General features: G+C 39.7%; 2 long non-coding RNA genes across 2 annotated transcripts in view; one reads left to right on the top strand and one right to left on the bottom strand.

Annotated features, from left to right (window-relative positions):
• LOC105376755 (uncharacterized) overlaps positions 1 to 15412 on the top strand; it is a 673333-nt gene that overhangs the window by 19738 nt on the left and 638183 nt on the right. The window lies entirely within an intron of this gene.
• LOC105373817 (uncharacterized) lies at positions 8192 to 13940 on the bottom strand. Its single transcript, XR_923733.3, has 3 exons — positions 13843 to 13940; positions 10924 to 11022; positions 8192 to 8614 (listed from the first exon to the last, which is right to left on the bottom strand). It is a non-coding gene; the product is annotated as an uncharacterized LOC105373817 (long non-coding RNA).

Raw genomic sequence — 15412 nt, 5'->3', positions numbered from 1 at the left:
GAGGTTTAATTGACTCACAGTTCCGCATGGCTGGGGAGGCCTCAGAAAACTTACAGTTATGGCAGAAGGTGAAGGGGAAGCAAGGACCTTCTTCATAAGGCGGCAGGAGAGAGTGTGAGTGAGAATGAAGAACTGCCACACTCTAATATCAGCTCTCATGGGAACTCACTCAATATCACAAGAACAGCATGGGGAAACCACCCCTATGATCCGATCACCTCCCACCTGGTCCCTCTCCTGATACATAGGGATTACAGTTTGAGATGAGATTTGGGTAGGGACACAGAGCCAAACCATATCCATCTTGTATTCCAGAACATACAATTATGAAACAACATGAAAAAAATTTTAAAGATTTTTTTCAAAAAATTTCAAGTACATTTATTATTTTATTTTTGCCTTTGTGTATCAACTGAATCATAAAATAAAGCCTCATAATTTTCTAAAGGAGATGAGCACCTCCCTGAACAGGATCCAATTTGAAGAAACGGACATCTAGCATTCTTATTAAACATGTATTAACACGAGGAGCCAAGATGGCCGAATAGGAACAGCTCCAGTCTACAGCTCCCAGCCTGAGCGACACAGAAGACGGGTGATTTCTGCATTTCCATCTGAAGTACCAGGTTCATCTCACTAGGGAGTGCCAGATAGTGGGCGCAGGTCAGTGGGTGCGCGCACCGTGCGCGAGCCGAAGCAGGGCGAGGCATTGCCTCACTCGGGAAGCGCAAGGGGTCAGGGAGTTCCCTTTCCTAATCAAAGAAAGGGGTGATGGACGGCACCTGGAAAATCGGGTCACTCCCACCCGAATACTGCGCTTTTCCGACGGGCTTAAAAAACGGCGCACCACGAGATTATATCCTGCACCTGGCTCTGAGGGTCCTACCCCAGGGAGTCTCACTGATTGCTAGCACAGCAGTCTGAGATCAAACTGCAAGGCGGCAGCGAGGCTGGGGGAGGGGCGCCCGCCATTGCCCAAGCTTGCTTAGGTAAACAAAGCAGCCAGGAAGCTCGAACTGGGTGGAGCCCACCACAGCTCAAGGAGGCCTGCCTGCCTCTCTAGGCTCCACCTCTGGGGGCAGGGCACAGACAAACAAAAAGACAGCAATAACCTTTGCAGATTTAAATGTCCCTGTCTGACAGCTTTGAAGAGAGCAGTGGTTCTCCCAGTACGCAGCTGGAGATCTGAGAACGGGCAGACTGCCTCCTCAAATGGGTCCCTGACGCATGACCCCCGAGCAGCCTAACTGGGAGGCACCCTCCAGCAGGGGCAGACTGACACCTCACACTGCAGGGTACTCCAACAGACCTGCAGCTGAGGGTCCTGTCTGTTAGAAGGAAAACTAACAAATAGAAAGGACATCCACACCAAAAACCCATCTATACATCACCATCATCAAAGACCAAAAGTAGATAAAACCACAAAGATGGGGAAAAAACAGAACAGAAAAACTGGAAACTCTAAAAATCAGAGCGCCTCTCCTCCTCCAAAGGAATGTAGTTCCTCACCAGCAACGGAACAAAGCTGGATGGAGAAGGACTTTGACGAGCTGAGAGGAGAAGGCTTCAGACGACCAAATTACTCTGAGCTACGGGAGGACATTCAAACCAAAGGCAAAGAAGTTGAAAACTTTGAAAAAAATTTAGAAGAATGTATAACTAGAATAACCAATACAGAGAAGTGCTTAAAGGAGCTGATGGAACTGAAAACCAAGGCTCGAGAACTACGTGAAGAATGCAGAAGCCTCAGGAGCCGATGCGATCAACTGGAAGAAAGGGTATCAGCAATGGAAGATGAAATGAATGAAATGAAGTGAGAAGGAAAGTTTAGAGAAAAAAGAATAAAAAGAAACGAGCAAAGCCTCCAAGAAATATGGGACTATGTGAAAAGACCAAATCTACATCTGATTGATGTACCTGAAAGTGATGGGGAGAATGGAACCAAGTTGGAAAACACTCTGCAGGATATCATCCAGGAGAATTTCCCCAATCTAGCAAGGCAGGCCAACGTTCAGATTCAGGAAATACAGAGAACGCCACAAAGATACTCCTCGAGAAGAGCAACTCCAAGACACATAATTGTCAGATTCACCAAAGTTGAAATGAAGGAAAAAATGTTAAGGGCAGCCAGAGAGAAAGGTCAGGTTACCCTCAAAGGGAAGCCCATCAGACTAACAGCAGATCTCTCGGCAGAAACCCTACAAGCCAGAAGAGAGTGGGGGCCAATATTGAACATTCTTAAAGAAAAGAATTTTCAACCCAGAATTTCATATACAGCCAAACTAAGCTTCATAAGTGAAGGAGAGATAAAATACTTTACAGACAAGGAAATGCTGAGAGATTTGGTCACCACCAGGCCTGCCCTAAAAGAGCTCCTGAAGGAAGCGCTAAACATGGAAAGGAACAACCAGTACCAGCCGCTGCAAAATCATGCCAAAATGTAAAGACCATCGAGACTAGGAAGAAACTGCATCAACTAACGAGCAAAATAACCAGCTAACATCATAATGACAGGATCAAATTCACACATAACACTATTAACTTTAAATGTAAATGGACTAAATGCTCCAATTAAAAGACACAGACTGGCAAATTGGATAAAGAGTCAAGACCCATCAGTGTGCTGTATTCAGGAAACCCATCTCACGTGCAGACACACACATAGGCTCAAAATAAAAGGATGGAGGAAGATCTACCAAGCAAATGGAAAACAAAAAAAGGCAGGGGTTGCAATCCTAGTCTCTGATAAAACAGACTTCAAACCAACAAAGATCAAAAGAGACAAAGAAGGCCATTACATAATGGTAAAGGGATCAATTCAACAAGAAGAGCTAACTATCCTAAATATATATGCACCCAATACAGGAGCACCCAGATTCATAAAGCAAGTCCTGAGTGACCTACAAAGAGACTTAGACTCCCACACATTAATAATGGGAGACTTTAACACCCCACTGTCAACATTAGACAGATCAACGAGACAAAAAGTCAACAAGGATACCCAGGAATTGAACTCAGCTCTGCACCAAGTGGACCTAATAGACATCTACAGAACTCTCCACCCCAAATCAACAGAATATACATTCTTTTCAGCACCACACCACACCTATTCCAAAATTGACCACATACTTGGAAGCAAAGCTCTCCTCAGCAAATGTAAAAGAACAGAAATTATAACAAACTATCTCTCAGACCACAGTGCAATCAAACTAGAACTCAGGATTAAGAATCTCACTCAAAACTGCTCGACTACATGGGAACTGAACAACCTGCTCCTGAATGACTACTGGGTACATAACGAAATGAAGGCAGAAATAAAGATGTTCTTTGAAACCAATGAGAACAAAGACACAACATACCAGAATCTCTGGGACGCATTCAAAGCAGTGTGTAGAGGGAAATTTATAGCACTAAATGCCCACAAGAGAAAGCAGGAAGGATCCAAAATTGACACCCTAACATCACAATTAAAATAACTAGAAAAGCAAGAGCAAACACATTCAAAAGCTAGCAGAAGGCAAGAAATAACTAAAATCAGAGCAGAACTAAAGGAAATAGAGACACAAAAAACCCTTCAAAAAGTTAATGAATCCAGGAGCTGGTTTTTTGAAAGGATCAACAAAATTGATAGACCGCTAGCAAGACTAATAAAGAAAAAAAGAGAGAAGAATCAAATAGACGCAATAAAAAAATGATAAAGGGGACATCACCACCGATCCCACAGAAATACAAACTACCATCAAAGAATAATATAAACACCTCTACGCAAATAAACTAGAAAATCTAGAAGAAATGGATAAATTCCTTGACACATACACTCTCCCAAGACTAAACCAGGAAGAAGTTGAATCTCTGAATAGACCAATAACAGGATCTGAAATTGTGGCAATAATCAATAGCTTACCAACCAAAAAGAGTCCAGGACCAGATGGATTCACAGCCGAATTCTACCAGAGGTACAAGGAGGAACTGGTACCATTCCTTCTGAAACTATTCCAATCAATAGAAAAAGAAGGAATGCCCCCTAACTCATTTTATGAGGCCAGCATCATCCTGATAGCAAAGCCGGGCAGAGGCACAACCAAAAAAGAGAATTTTAGACCAATATCCTTGATGAACATTGATGCAAAAATCCTCAATAAAATACTGGCAAACCAAATCCAGCAGCACATCAAAAAGCTTACCCACCATGATCAAGTGGGCTTCATCCCTGGGATGCAAGGCTGGTTCAATATACGCAAATCAATAAATGTAATCCAGCATATAAACAGAGCCAAAGACAAAAACCACATGATTATCTCAATAGATGCAGAAAAGGCCTTTGACAAAATTCAACAACCTTTCATGCTAAAAACTCTCAATAAATTAGGTATTAATGGGACATATTTCAAAATAATAAGAGCTATCTATGACAAACCCACAGCCAATATCATACTGAATGGGCAAAAACTGGAAGCATTCCCTTTGAAAACTGGCACAAGACAGGGATGCCCTCTCTCACCACTCGTATTCAACATAGTGTTGGAAGTTCTGGCCAGGGCAATTAGGCAGGAGAAGGAAATAAAGGGTATTCAATTAGGAAAAGAGGAAGTCAAATTGTCCCTGTTTGCAGATGACATGATTGTATATCTAGAAAACCCCATTGTCTCAGCCCAAAATCTCCTTAAGCTGATAAGCAACTTCAGCAAAGTCTCAGGATACAAAATCAATGTGCAAAAATCACAAGCATTCCTATACACCAGCAAGAGACAAACAGAGAGCCAAATCATGAGTGAACTCCCATAAACAATTGCTTCAAAGAGAATGAAATACCTAGGAATCCAACTTACAAGGGATGTGAAGGTCCTCTTCAAGGAGAACTACAAACCACTGCTCAAGGAAATAAAAGAGGATACAAACAAATGGAAGAACATTCCATGCTCATGGGTAGGAAGAATCAATATCGTGAAAATGGCCATACTGCCCAAGGTAATTTATAGATTCAATGCCTTCCCCATGAAGCTACCAATGCCTTTCTTCACAGAATTGGAAAAAACTACTTGAAAGTTCATATGGAACCAAAAAAGAGCCCGCATCACCAAGTCAATCCTAAGCCATAAGAACAAAGCTGGAGGCATCACACTACCTGACTTCAAACTATACTACAAGGCTACAGTAACCAAAACAGCATGGTACTGGTACCAAAACAGAGATATAGATCAATGGAACAGAACAGAGCCCTCAGAAATAACGCCGCATATCTACAACTATCTGATCTTTGACAAACCTGACAAAAACAAGCAATGGGGAAAGGATTCCCTATTTAATAAATGGTGCTGGGAAAACTGGCTAGCCATATGTAGAAAGCTGAAACTGGATCCCTTCCTTACGTATACAAAAATCAATTCAAGATGGATTAAAGACTTAAATGTTAGACCTAAAACCATAAAAACCCTAGAAGAAAACCTAGGCATTACCATTCAGGACATAGGCATGGGCAAGGACTTCATGTCTAAAACACCAAACGCAATGGCAACAAAAGACAAAATTGACAAATGGGATCTAATTAAACTAAAGAGCTTCTGCACAGCAAAAGGAACTACCATCAGAGTGAACAGGCAACCTACAAAATGGGAGAAAATTTTCACCACCTACTCATCTGACAAAGGGCTAATATCCAGAATCTACAATGAACCCAAACAAATTTACAAGAAAAAAACAAACAACGCCATCAAAAAGTGGGCGAAGGATATGAACAGACACTTCTCAAAAGAAGACATTTATGCAGCCAGAAAACACATGAAAAAATGCTCACCATCACTGGCCATCAGAGAAATGCAAATCAAAACCACAATGAGATACCATCTCACACCAGTTAGAATGGCAATCATTCAAAAGCCAGGAAACAACAGGTGCTGGAGAGGATGTGGAGAAATAGGAACACTTTTACACTGTTGGTGGGACTGTAAACTAGTTCAACCATTGTGGAAGTGAGTGTGGCGATTCCTCAGGGATCTAGAACTAGAAATACCATTTGACCCAGCCATCCCATTACTGGGTATATACCCAAAGGATTATAAATCATGCTGCTATGAAGACACATGCACATGTATGTTTATTGCGGCATTATTCACAATAGCAAAGACTTGGAACCAACCCAAATGTCCCACAATGATAGATTGGATTAAGAAAATGTGGCACATATACACCATGGAATACTATGCAGCCATAAAAAATGATGAGTTGGTGTCCTTTGTAGGGACATGGATGAAATTGGAAACCATCATTCTCAGTAAACTATCGCAAGAATAAAAAACCAAACACTGCATATTCTCACTCATAGGTGGGAATTGAACAATGAGATCACATGGACACAGGAAGGGGAACATCACACTTTGGGGACTGTTGTGGGGTGGGGGGAGGGGGGAGGGATAGCATTGGGAGATATACCTAATGCTAGATGACGAGTTAGTGGGTGCAGTACACCAGCATGTCACATGTATATGTATGTAACTAACCTGCACAATGTGCACATGTACCCTAAAACTTAAAGTATAACAATAAAGATAAATAAATAAAAAAAACAAGAAAATAAACAGGTATTAATACGTTATTATTTCACCCAGATTAAATTGCTAGGAAAATGTTTTAGCATGCTCCCAGGAGAATATTTTGATTAGCTGCTAATACAGAAGGTATCAAAGAGTACTCAAAATATCTATAAGAAATGCAAAGAATCTTTTTCTACTCACATTCCCACCCCCATCAAATAACCATCAAGTTGTAACTTTCCACCTAATCCATGAGGCTTTGCACAGTGAATTAAATGAGAAAAGTCTACTAGATTTTAGTGGTGATGTTGTTAAAGCATGCATAACTGACACAGCAGAGTTTTTCCAATTTTTTATTCTCAAATTGCAACAGGGCACCATTGAAGACAATGGAAGATTTAATGAAACCAGTATTTATATTGTTATTTGAATGTTACTGAGTCATTGAAATTTCTGTTTCTGAAAGTATACACAAACACACACACGCTGTTTTAATTGTAGGAAGGAATTTCCATAATATTAAGAAAATGCAGCAGACTTTTAATAAGGGAAGGCTTATTTGTTTCTTTTCTTGAGGATATTGATCAGACCAGGAATGTATACATCTCTACCATCCAAGAACTTAAGAGTCCTGTGTGGCGATAAGATGCAGACACACAACAGAAATTACAGACAGCATGCATATATCTGTACTGCAGACAGGATTGCAGTAATCAAAGAAATTGATACATGTGTGTTTTTAAGTAAAGGAAGAAAACTGCATATTGATATTTAGCATATAAGTTTAATGTTTACAAATGAATTTGGATAGGGTAAAGTTGAAAGAGAGTAAACAATAGTTATGCCAAATATACTCAAGGAGTAGAATTAAAGGACAGAAAGCTAATGCAATTTTAAACATGTAATTATGTAATAGCCTCCATTAGGAAATATTGGATCCTCTTCAGGGAGGTGGTCATCTCCTTTACAAAACTCTGAGTTTCTAGGCTTTGTATTATAATTCAGTTCATCCTCAGAAAATAAAGTGAAATATAAATGTACTTGAAAATTTTTTGAAAAAATTATTTAAAAGTTTTGTACATGTTGTTTCATAATTATATGTTCTGGAATACATGGTGTCTTTTTTCAACGTAGGGTTTAATATGGTCTTTTTATGACTATAAACTATATCTGAAAAAGATTTATCTGAGCCTGTCTTAGAGGTGGTTTCTAAAATGACCACTTAGCCATGGTGACCTTTGAAAGTGAGAAACTTCCACTCCTTGTAAGACTGACATTGGAAAATTGGTTTCTTATGATTAGGAAAAGCCCATCTTGTAATTTTGCACAGGCAAACAGCATTATGCCTCATCTACTATAACATTTATCTTCTTTTATTATGGAGAAAGGGTACACATATCCTTTGAGCTTATTCACCTGACTGGGGATGGAAGAGCCCACTACAGACTGCTTTCATTTCCAGAAAGCAGCCCTAGAAAAGAATCTTATTTGCGACATGTCGATAATCTCTAGGTGGCTGAACTATGTTGTCCTGAAAGCGTCACAGTCAGAAGTAGTCCCTAGGGAGTTAATCTCCAGCTTGAAAGATTCAAGATGAGTTGAAAACAATAAAAGCATAACCCTTAAATCTTCTAATAAAAATAGTTTTAGTAAGGGTTGACTGGAACTGCTCAGATCAATAAGAAAGGCATTATATGATACTTAGTTTTGTTTTCTGTAATAATTTGACTTTTATAGTTGTCAGTATTGTTATTATATTTAGCCATATTAACAAAGTGTCTATTTTGATTTATTAACCATCACTGTGTAGGAAAAAGGCCCTGGTTTCTCTCTCTTAATAGCTTCCTTGAGAAGCTTATCATTTTATAAATAATTCAACCAGCATTGCTCCTTTGGAGGTAACATATACTATTTGCGGGTAAAATGTATGAGTAAATACATAATTCTTTGTGGACCAAATTTCAAAACCTGATTCCTTAAAATTGTTAAAATGGGCCAACGATAGTACCTGAGATTCAACAGCATTTCTTGACAGTTTCTTCATCAGTTTGATCTTCGCCTTTACAGATGTCCTCACAGGTATGCTGAGACAATCAAACAAGTAATTTGTTTTGATTACATTAAAAATCCCAAAGGCCTAAAGAAGGTCTTTACCCTGGAAAGAACTGAAATTCGCCACACCACACTCAGCCACTCATGCAGCCTTATGCATCCCCTAAGAGTTTGCAGTTCTCAGCCCCAGTTACGTAACAGATCAACTGGAGACCTTTAAAAAAATACCAATACTGGGACTGGCCTAGAAAAATTCTGAAAGAATTAGTCTGGGGTGAGATCTAAAAGTGAATATTCTTAAAAAGCTGCTCAGAGATTCTAGTCTGTAGCTAGAATGATAACCACTCCACTATAGCCATGGCATATTACTCAGTGTGTCCAGGGAAGCTGATATTAGTATATTCTGATTATAACAATATAAAACACAGAATCCACATTTATTAGATCAAGCAGAACTTCCTGGTTGTGTGTGTTGGCAGGAGGTTGTGTGTGTTCACAGAAGATTGTGTGTGTGTTCTTCTTTTATAATACTTAATGCTTAACCTTGGTACAACTCTGTTTCATTCTCTGGGTACAGCAAATGAACAACTTTATCACATTTATCAGGAATAAATTGATAATGTATTTTACAGATAATCACTAATTTTCATATCCCTATAAAGTACCAACAGGAGAAAAACAACGCCATGGAATGAATGAGCCATGCCTTCAAACAGTGCTTCTGGAGCTATTGATATGATGGTTGCACACGCTACCTTGCTTTGGCAAGGTTATCTTAATCAGGGCTCCCTCTGATTCTTTATGTAACTTATTCTGTAACAGCTGTGGAGAACACTTTTATAATGTCTAATGTTTATGACCTAGCAGAACTTCTTTCAAGAAAGCTGCTGAGGGCATATGCCCACAAATCTAATGCAAAGGCTGAATGCTGTTCGTAACATGAAAGGAGACCATGTTACTATTCTGCATAAAAATTCTCTGGTAGTTCCTGCCTTCAAGTTACTTACGCTATAAAACCATTTATTGCCTGGCTCTTCTTACCTGGCCAACTTTAATGTCCCGCCATTCTCCCCACTCCCATCCTCTCCCTCCACACATGTAAGGCTGAAGTAGAGAAAATGAATGCTCACTTCCTAGGATGCTGTAAATATTAAACCAGAATTCCCAAAAAATACTTAGTACAGTGCTTAGAATGTAATAACACAAGATTAAACACACACAGAAATAAATGACAATAACAACAACAAAAATATTTCTGTGTCCTCATAGAGCAGTTGCCTGCTTCTTACTTTACCTTTCAGTAGCATCATTTGCATATATCTATCATAAGCTTTATCTAATTACATTAAAATCAGTGGTTTGCCAATCAGCTTAACAGCATAGGTCTCAATGCACAATAGGCATGTAATTAATTTTTCATGAAATCAAATGCCTCTGATTTAAAAATTTCAAGAAGTGTTAGATTTTTGCTCAGCCATCTATTCTCTCACATGCTTAGATCCTCAAATATTAATTTAATGAATGAGTGAATCAATGAATGGTTCCCTTTATAATCAGGAACTGGTAGAAACTATGAATGCAGTTCATACAGTGATGCCAACTGGCCCATAGATGATTCAAAACTTTGAGCCTTGGCTTTCTATTACCCTCTCATAGGATTAATTTCTAACTACATCCAAAACTACCTCAGAAAAATTTGAAGACTGAAGCATCCCTATAATGGTTCTTAGTGGTGTTGTCAGAGTTCAAATGAACCAGAGTGACTCCATCTTGAATAGGGGCTGGGTAAAATAAGGATGAGACCTGATGGGCTGCGTTCCCAGGAGGTTAGGCATTCTCAATCACAGGATGAGCTAGGAGGTCAACAGGACTGGTATCACAAGATACAGGTCATAAAGACCCTGCTGATAAAACAGGATGCAGTAAAGAAGCCAGCCAAAACCCACCAAAACCAAGATGGTGTGGAAAGTGACCTCTGGTCATCCTCGCTGCTTGTTATATGGTAATTATAATACATTAGCATGCTAAAAGACACTCCCACCAGTGCCATGACAGTTTACAAATGCCATAGCCACCTCGGGAAGTTACCCTATACGGTCTAAAAAGGGGAAGGAACCCTCAGTTCCAGGAAATACCTACCCCTTTCCTAGAAAACTTATAATCCACCCCATATTTAGCATATGATAAGAAAACTTATAATCCACCCAATATTTAGCAGATGATAAGAAATAACCATAAAAATAGCTAACCAGCAGCCCTGGGGGCTGCTCTGTCTATGGAGTAGCCACCCTTCTATTTACTTTCTTAATAAACTTGCTTTCACTTTGCTCTGTGAACTCACCGTGAATTCTTTCTTGCATGAGATCCAAGAACTCTCTCTTGGGGTCTGGATTAGGCCTCCTTTCCAATAACACTGTAGTTGAAATTCAGTTCCTGAAATCTATTTCATTGAAAAGGAATAAATTATCAAGGCACATCTGTTTTGAATTTTCTCTTTTAAGAGTGTAAGTAGGGCCAATAGTGTACGTAGGTCAGCATTGAATGCAGATACCAGTGGTTGATATTATAGATTTCTCGGGCATAACTGTTAGTTTTCCTTTCATAATGATAGACATGTTAGAGGATGGTTACTCACTCACATTGCATTTTCAAAGTCCAGCTTAGCAAATTAGAATAAATTATTATCTTCAGCTGAGTTGGCTGTGGGCAACTTGTGTGCATCTAGCCAACCCTCTGAGAGCCTGGTCCTCCCTCCCTCCCTCCCTCCCTTCCTTCCTTCCTAGTTACTTGTTTGTCTGTCTTTAGTTTTAGATTCTTAGATTGTCAACTTCAGGAGGGTAAGAAACATACATATATATTGCTCTCCATTTTATCTTTGCTAGGCAGAAATTGAATACTAGTTTATTCTGAATGGGGATATGTTCTGGTTCTAGATGTGCAGCTTAGAAGGACATTCTTTTTCTTCCCACTGAATGCTTTACATTAAGACACAGAGCTGTAGAATAAAGGTAATAATCAACCCTGGCCCGAAAGGGAGTTAGTTGCTGGTTACAGTTGACACTTCAGTGTCAACTGCTGGATACAGTTGACATTGTTTGGCCTCTGCTGATGAAGGAGAGACGAAGATAAGAATGTTCTGAGAATATACAGGTCCACAAAAATACTGGTCTAATCTTGTTTGGTTAGGAAAAAAAATAACCAGTTGAGTCTGTGGTTGCTTCATGGGCCTAGCTGGGTGTAATCCTGACTTTTATTGTTGAGTGGTTGGGCACTTAGGTGCCAGGTCACCTGGGTAACCACAGCTAATACTCTGTACTCTATGATCACAGTGAAGGTCTTCCAGAAGCTAGGCTGCCCAGTAAAAGAAAACCAAACCATTAATTTTTAAAAATACCAGGTTTAAAACTAAACACACATTTGGATTTCAAATATAGCACTGGCATCTGAATGTACCCTGCTGTATATATTCAAGTTGCACCAGCCTACTTTATGTCAATATAGATATCTATATCAGTATCTAGTAAGCAACCACTTTGGGGGAGAGCCCGAGACTGAAGAATGTTTTATTTTAAAAGGGTATTTCCTTTGGTAGTTTTTACACCCCCTAAAAGGAGTGTATTCCAGGGACTTTTATCAAAACAAAATTTAAAAAGTCATTGTTGAATGCATGCATGCATACATGCATGAATAAATGCAGTTACACCTAGGAATTGCGAACAAGGAAATTAATACCACTGGATTCAAAAGTCAAAGAACCTCGGTTCTAGACCCACAGTTATCCTCAATTAGTTATGTAATATATGTAAATAATTTACCTCTCAGTCTTAGTTTCATCAACTGTAAGATATCTTAATAATTTCTTCCATATGTACCTCAGAGGCTTCTTTTTTCAGAATTAATAAACTGCTAATGATGAAATTTTAAACTCATGAAATGATATCGAGATAAAAGGTATTAATGAAGAAGACTTTCAGCTGGGCATGCTGGCTCACTCCTGTAATTCCAGCACTTTGGGAGGCTGAGGTGGGTGGATCACTTCAAGTCAGGAGTTCGAGACCAGCCTGGTCGACATGGTGAAACCCCATCGCTACCAAAATACAGAAATGAGTCAGGTGTGGTGGCAGGCACCTCTAATCCCAGCTACTTGGGAGGCTGAGGCATGAGAATCATTTAAACTGGGAGGTGGAGGTTGCAGTGAACCAGTGAGCTGAGATCATACCATTGCACTCCAGCCTGGGTGACACAGTGAGATTCCATCTCAAAAAAAAAAAAAAAAAAAAAAGAAGACTTTCAAGTATTCCCTTTCTTTACTTAGAGATCATTTTTACTTGTTTGTTTCTTGGCAAAGGATCCCTGGAAACTACTTTTAATTGGTTGTTCATGCTGTACCTCTCATAAAGTGAACCAAATATTTTATTTCTGTATTATTTCATTTACATTAAACAATGAAGCAAAAGTAGATAAAATGCATTTTATAATCATAAAATGGGCTCAGATATCAGAAATTTTAGAAAAGATTCAAGTACTTCAAAATTCATTAGATTTTTTCCGGATGTCATTAGATACCTACAGAAATGCACATTACATAGAAATAGGTACATACATAGAAATGTATTTGCATAATGTTATGATGACAGTGGAGGAACAGGGACCAACACCTTTTTCATAATTGTATTTCAATGGACACATTACTAGAAATCACATGCCCAATGTAGCAGAAACAAATTGTTCTGTAATATCTATCTGTATCTTTTTCTTTCTTAATTTTTAGCTAAACACATAGGCACTTAAAGACTGCATTTCCTGGCATCCCTTGAAGCTAGGTCCAGAATAGATGTGATAATCGCTGCAGGAGCATCTTATGCTGGGAATGGTAGAGCAAGAATACAGGCATCTGAGTCCCTGGCCATCCCTGGACCTGTCACTTATATACAAAAGAGAAATAAACTTTATCTTGGAGTGTCTGGCACTCATAGCTAAACTTAATTCTAATGAATACTTCCAATCCTGTGGATGTGAATTAGTAACGTAAAAAAAAGTTTTGAAACCAGTAGGGAAATATGGAGATACTATTATCACTTCCACCAATGTCCTTTCATTTTTCCTTTAATATGATGATATGTTTTGGGTTGATCTTCTGGCAATTTAAATGGGTTCCCTTGATGGGGTTAAGAGGTATATCGGTAGTGGAGAAGGATTAGTGTTTTGAATGAATGGGGCAATTTCAAATGAAACAAAAGATTTTGATTTGGGTAGTTACCAATCTCTTCTTCCAGCCATGTTTCCTCTTGGGTGCTGGGCTTTGGCCAGTTCCTACGGGTCTCGATGGAATGTCAGGCTTGTCCTCGACCTGTCCTCAGGCTGCAGTAGGTGGATGGAAGTGAGGGCAATTAGTGAGAAAGTCCAAATGTAGAATTAAAATTGAAAATCAGATAGACTGGCAGAAGAGACAATACAAAGGGACTAAGCAGAGAGACAAAATCCAGTTACAAAACAGTAGGCAGAAACAGGGAATAACAGCTAAAAGCAAAAGCATTTTGATGGAGGTGGGAGGTGGGGCCTGCAGTGTCTTTGAGCCCTGGAATGCAGTTGCCACACTTTTTTTTAGGACAGTCGTGCATAGATTCAGCCATGGGTGGGTGGTTGCCAAATTAGTTTGAACTGACAAATATGCTGGGACCCCCTTAGGAGAGAAAGTGAAGAAATAAGGACTGAGGAGAAGTGGGGGCTGGCCTCTGAGTGAGTCCTACTATGTGCCATTTTATGGTAATCAAAGGAGCATCATTGGTTCCTTGATGGAATCCAGAGCTGAATCCGCAGAGAAGTCATCTGGTGGTTGGCACAGTAGTGGGAGAACTCATTGGTCAGAGATGGAGTCAGGAGGCTGATGTGAGCCTGGAAGTTGGCACATGTACAGTACAACCTTAAGCTTTCGTTGGGCATAGGGGAAATAAGATCAAATTCCCAGGAGAGAGAAAAGAGGGTATAAGAGGGTGGGGCGTTAGAGCCCACCATGCTGGCTGAAGTCCCAGAAGGCAACTGCAATGCTAGGAAGTGATATTGAACAGAAGTTTAAAGTTTTGATACCAGTGTCTGAGAGATGAGTGGCCTCCATATCAGGATGGATCTACTGAGGCTCTATATTAGTCTATTTTCACACTGCTAATAAAGACATACCTGAGACTGGGTAATTTATGAATCACAGTTCCACATGGCTGGAGAAGCCTCACAATCATGGTAGAAGGTGAAGGAGGAGCAAAGGCACGTCTTACAAGGCAGCAGGCAAGAGAACGTGTGCAGGGGAACTGCCTTTTATAAAACCATCAAATGTCATGAGACTTACTCACTTTCACAAGAACAACACAGGAAAAACCTGCCCCCATGATTCAATTACCTCCCACTCGATCCCTCCCATGATACATGGGGATTATGGGAGCTACAATTAAAGATGTGATTTGGGTGGAGACACAGCCAAACCATATCAGGCTCCATGAATTCCTCTCACAGTAACATGAAACCAGGGCTCAGAAGCCCAGTCCAGCTCAGGCTGGAGCCCAATCTACCAATAGAAGGCATCTATTATGTCTGCAGAGACTTCTGTGGGAGAAGGATAGCAGGAAGAGGACATCTCTCCTTTCCATTCTCAGACCAGAGTCCACACTCATACTTTGTCAGAAGAGAATGACCATTACAGAGTCAGAAGGCAGAGTCAGTAACTGTTAACTGGCAGCAGTAAGATCAACAAAACACTGGCTTTATTATTCAGAATTCTTTCCTGTAATAATATTTGGTTTATTAAAAATTTACCTACGTTTCCAATATCCCAAATA

The sequence above is a fragment of the Homo sapiens genome, chromosome 2, assembly GCF_000001405.40.
Source record: "Homo sapiens chromosome 2, GRCh38.p14 Primary Assembly".
NCBI classification, from domain to species: domain Eukaryota; kingdom Metazoa; phylum Chordata; class Mammalia; order Primates; family Hominidae; genus Homo; species Homo sapiens.
The sequence above is the reverse complement of the archived record's forward strand: the minus strand, read 5'-3'. Positions and strand labels throughout refer to the sequence as shown.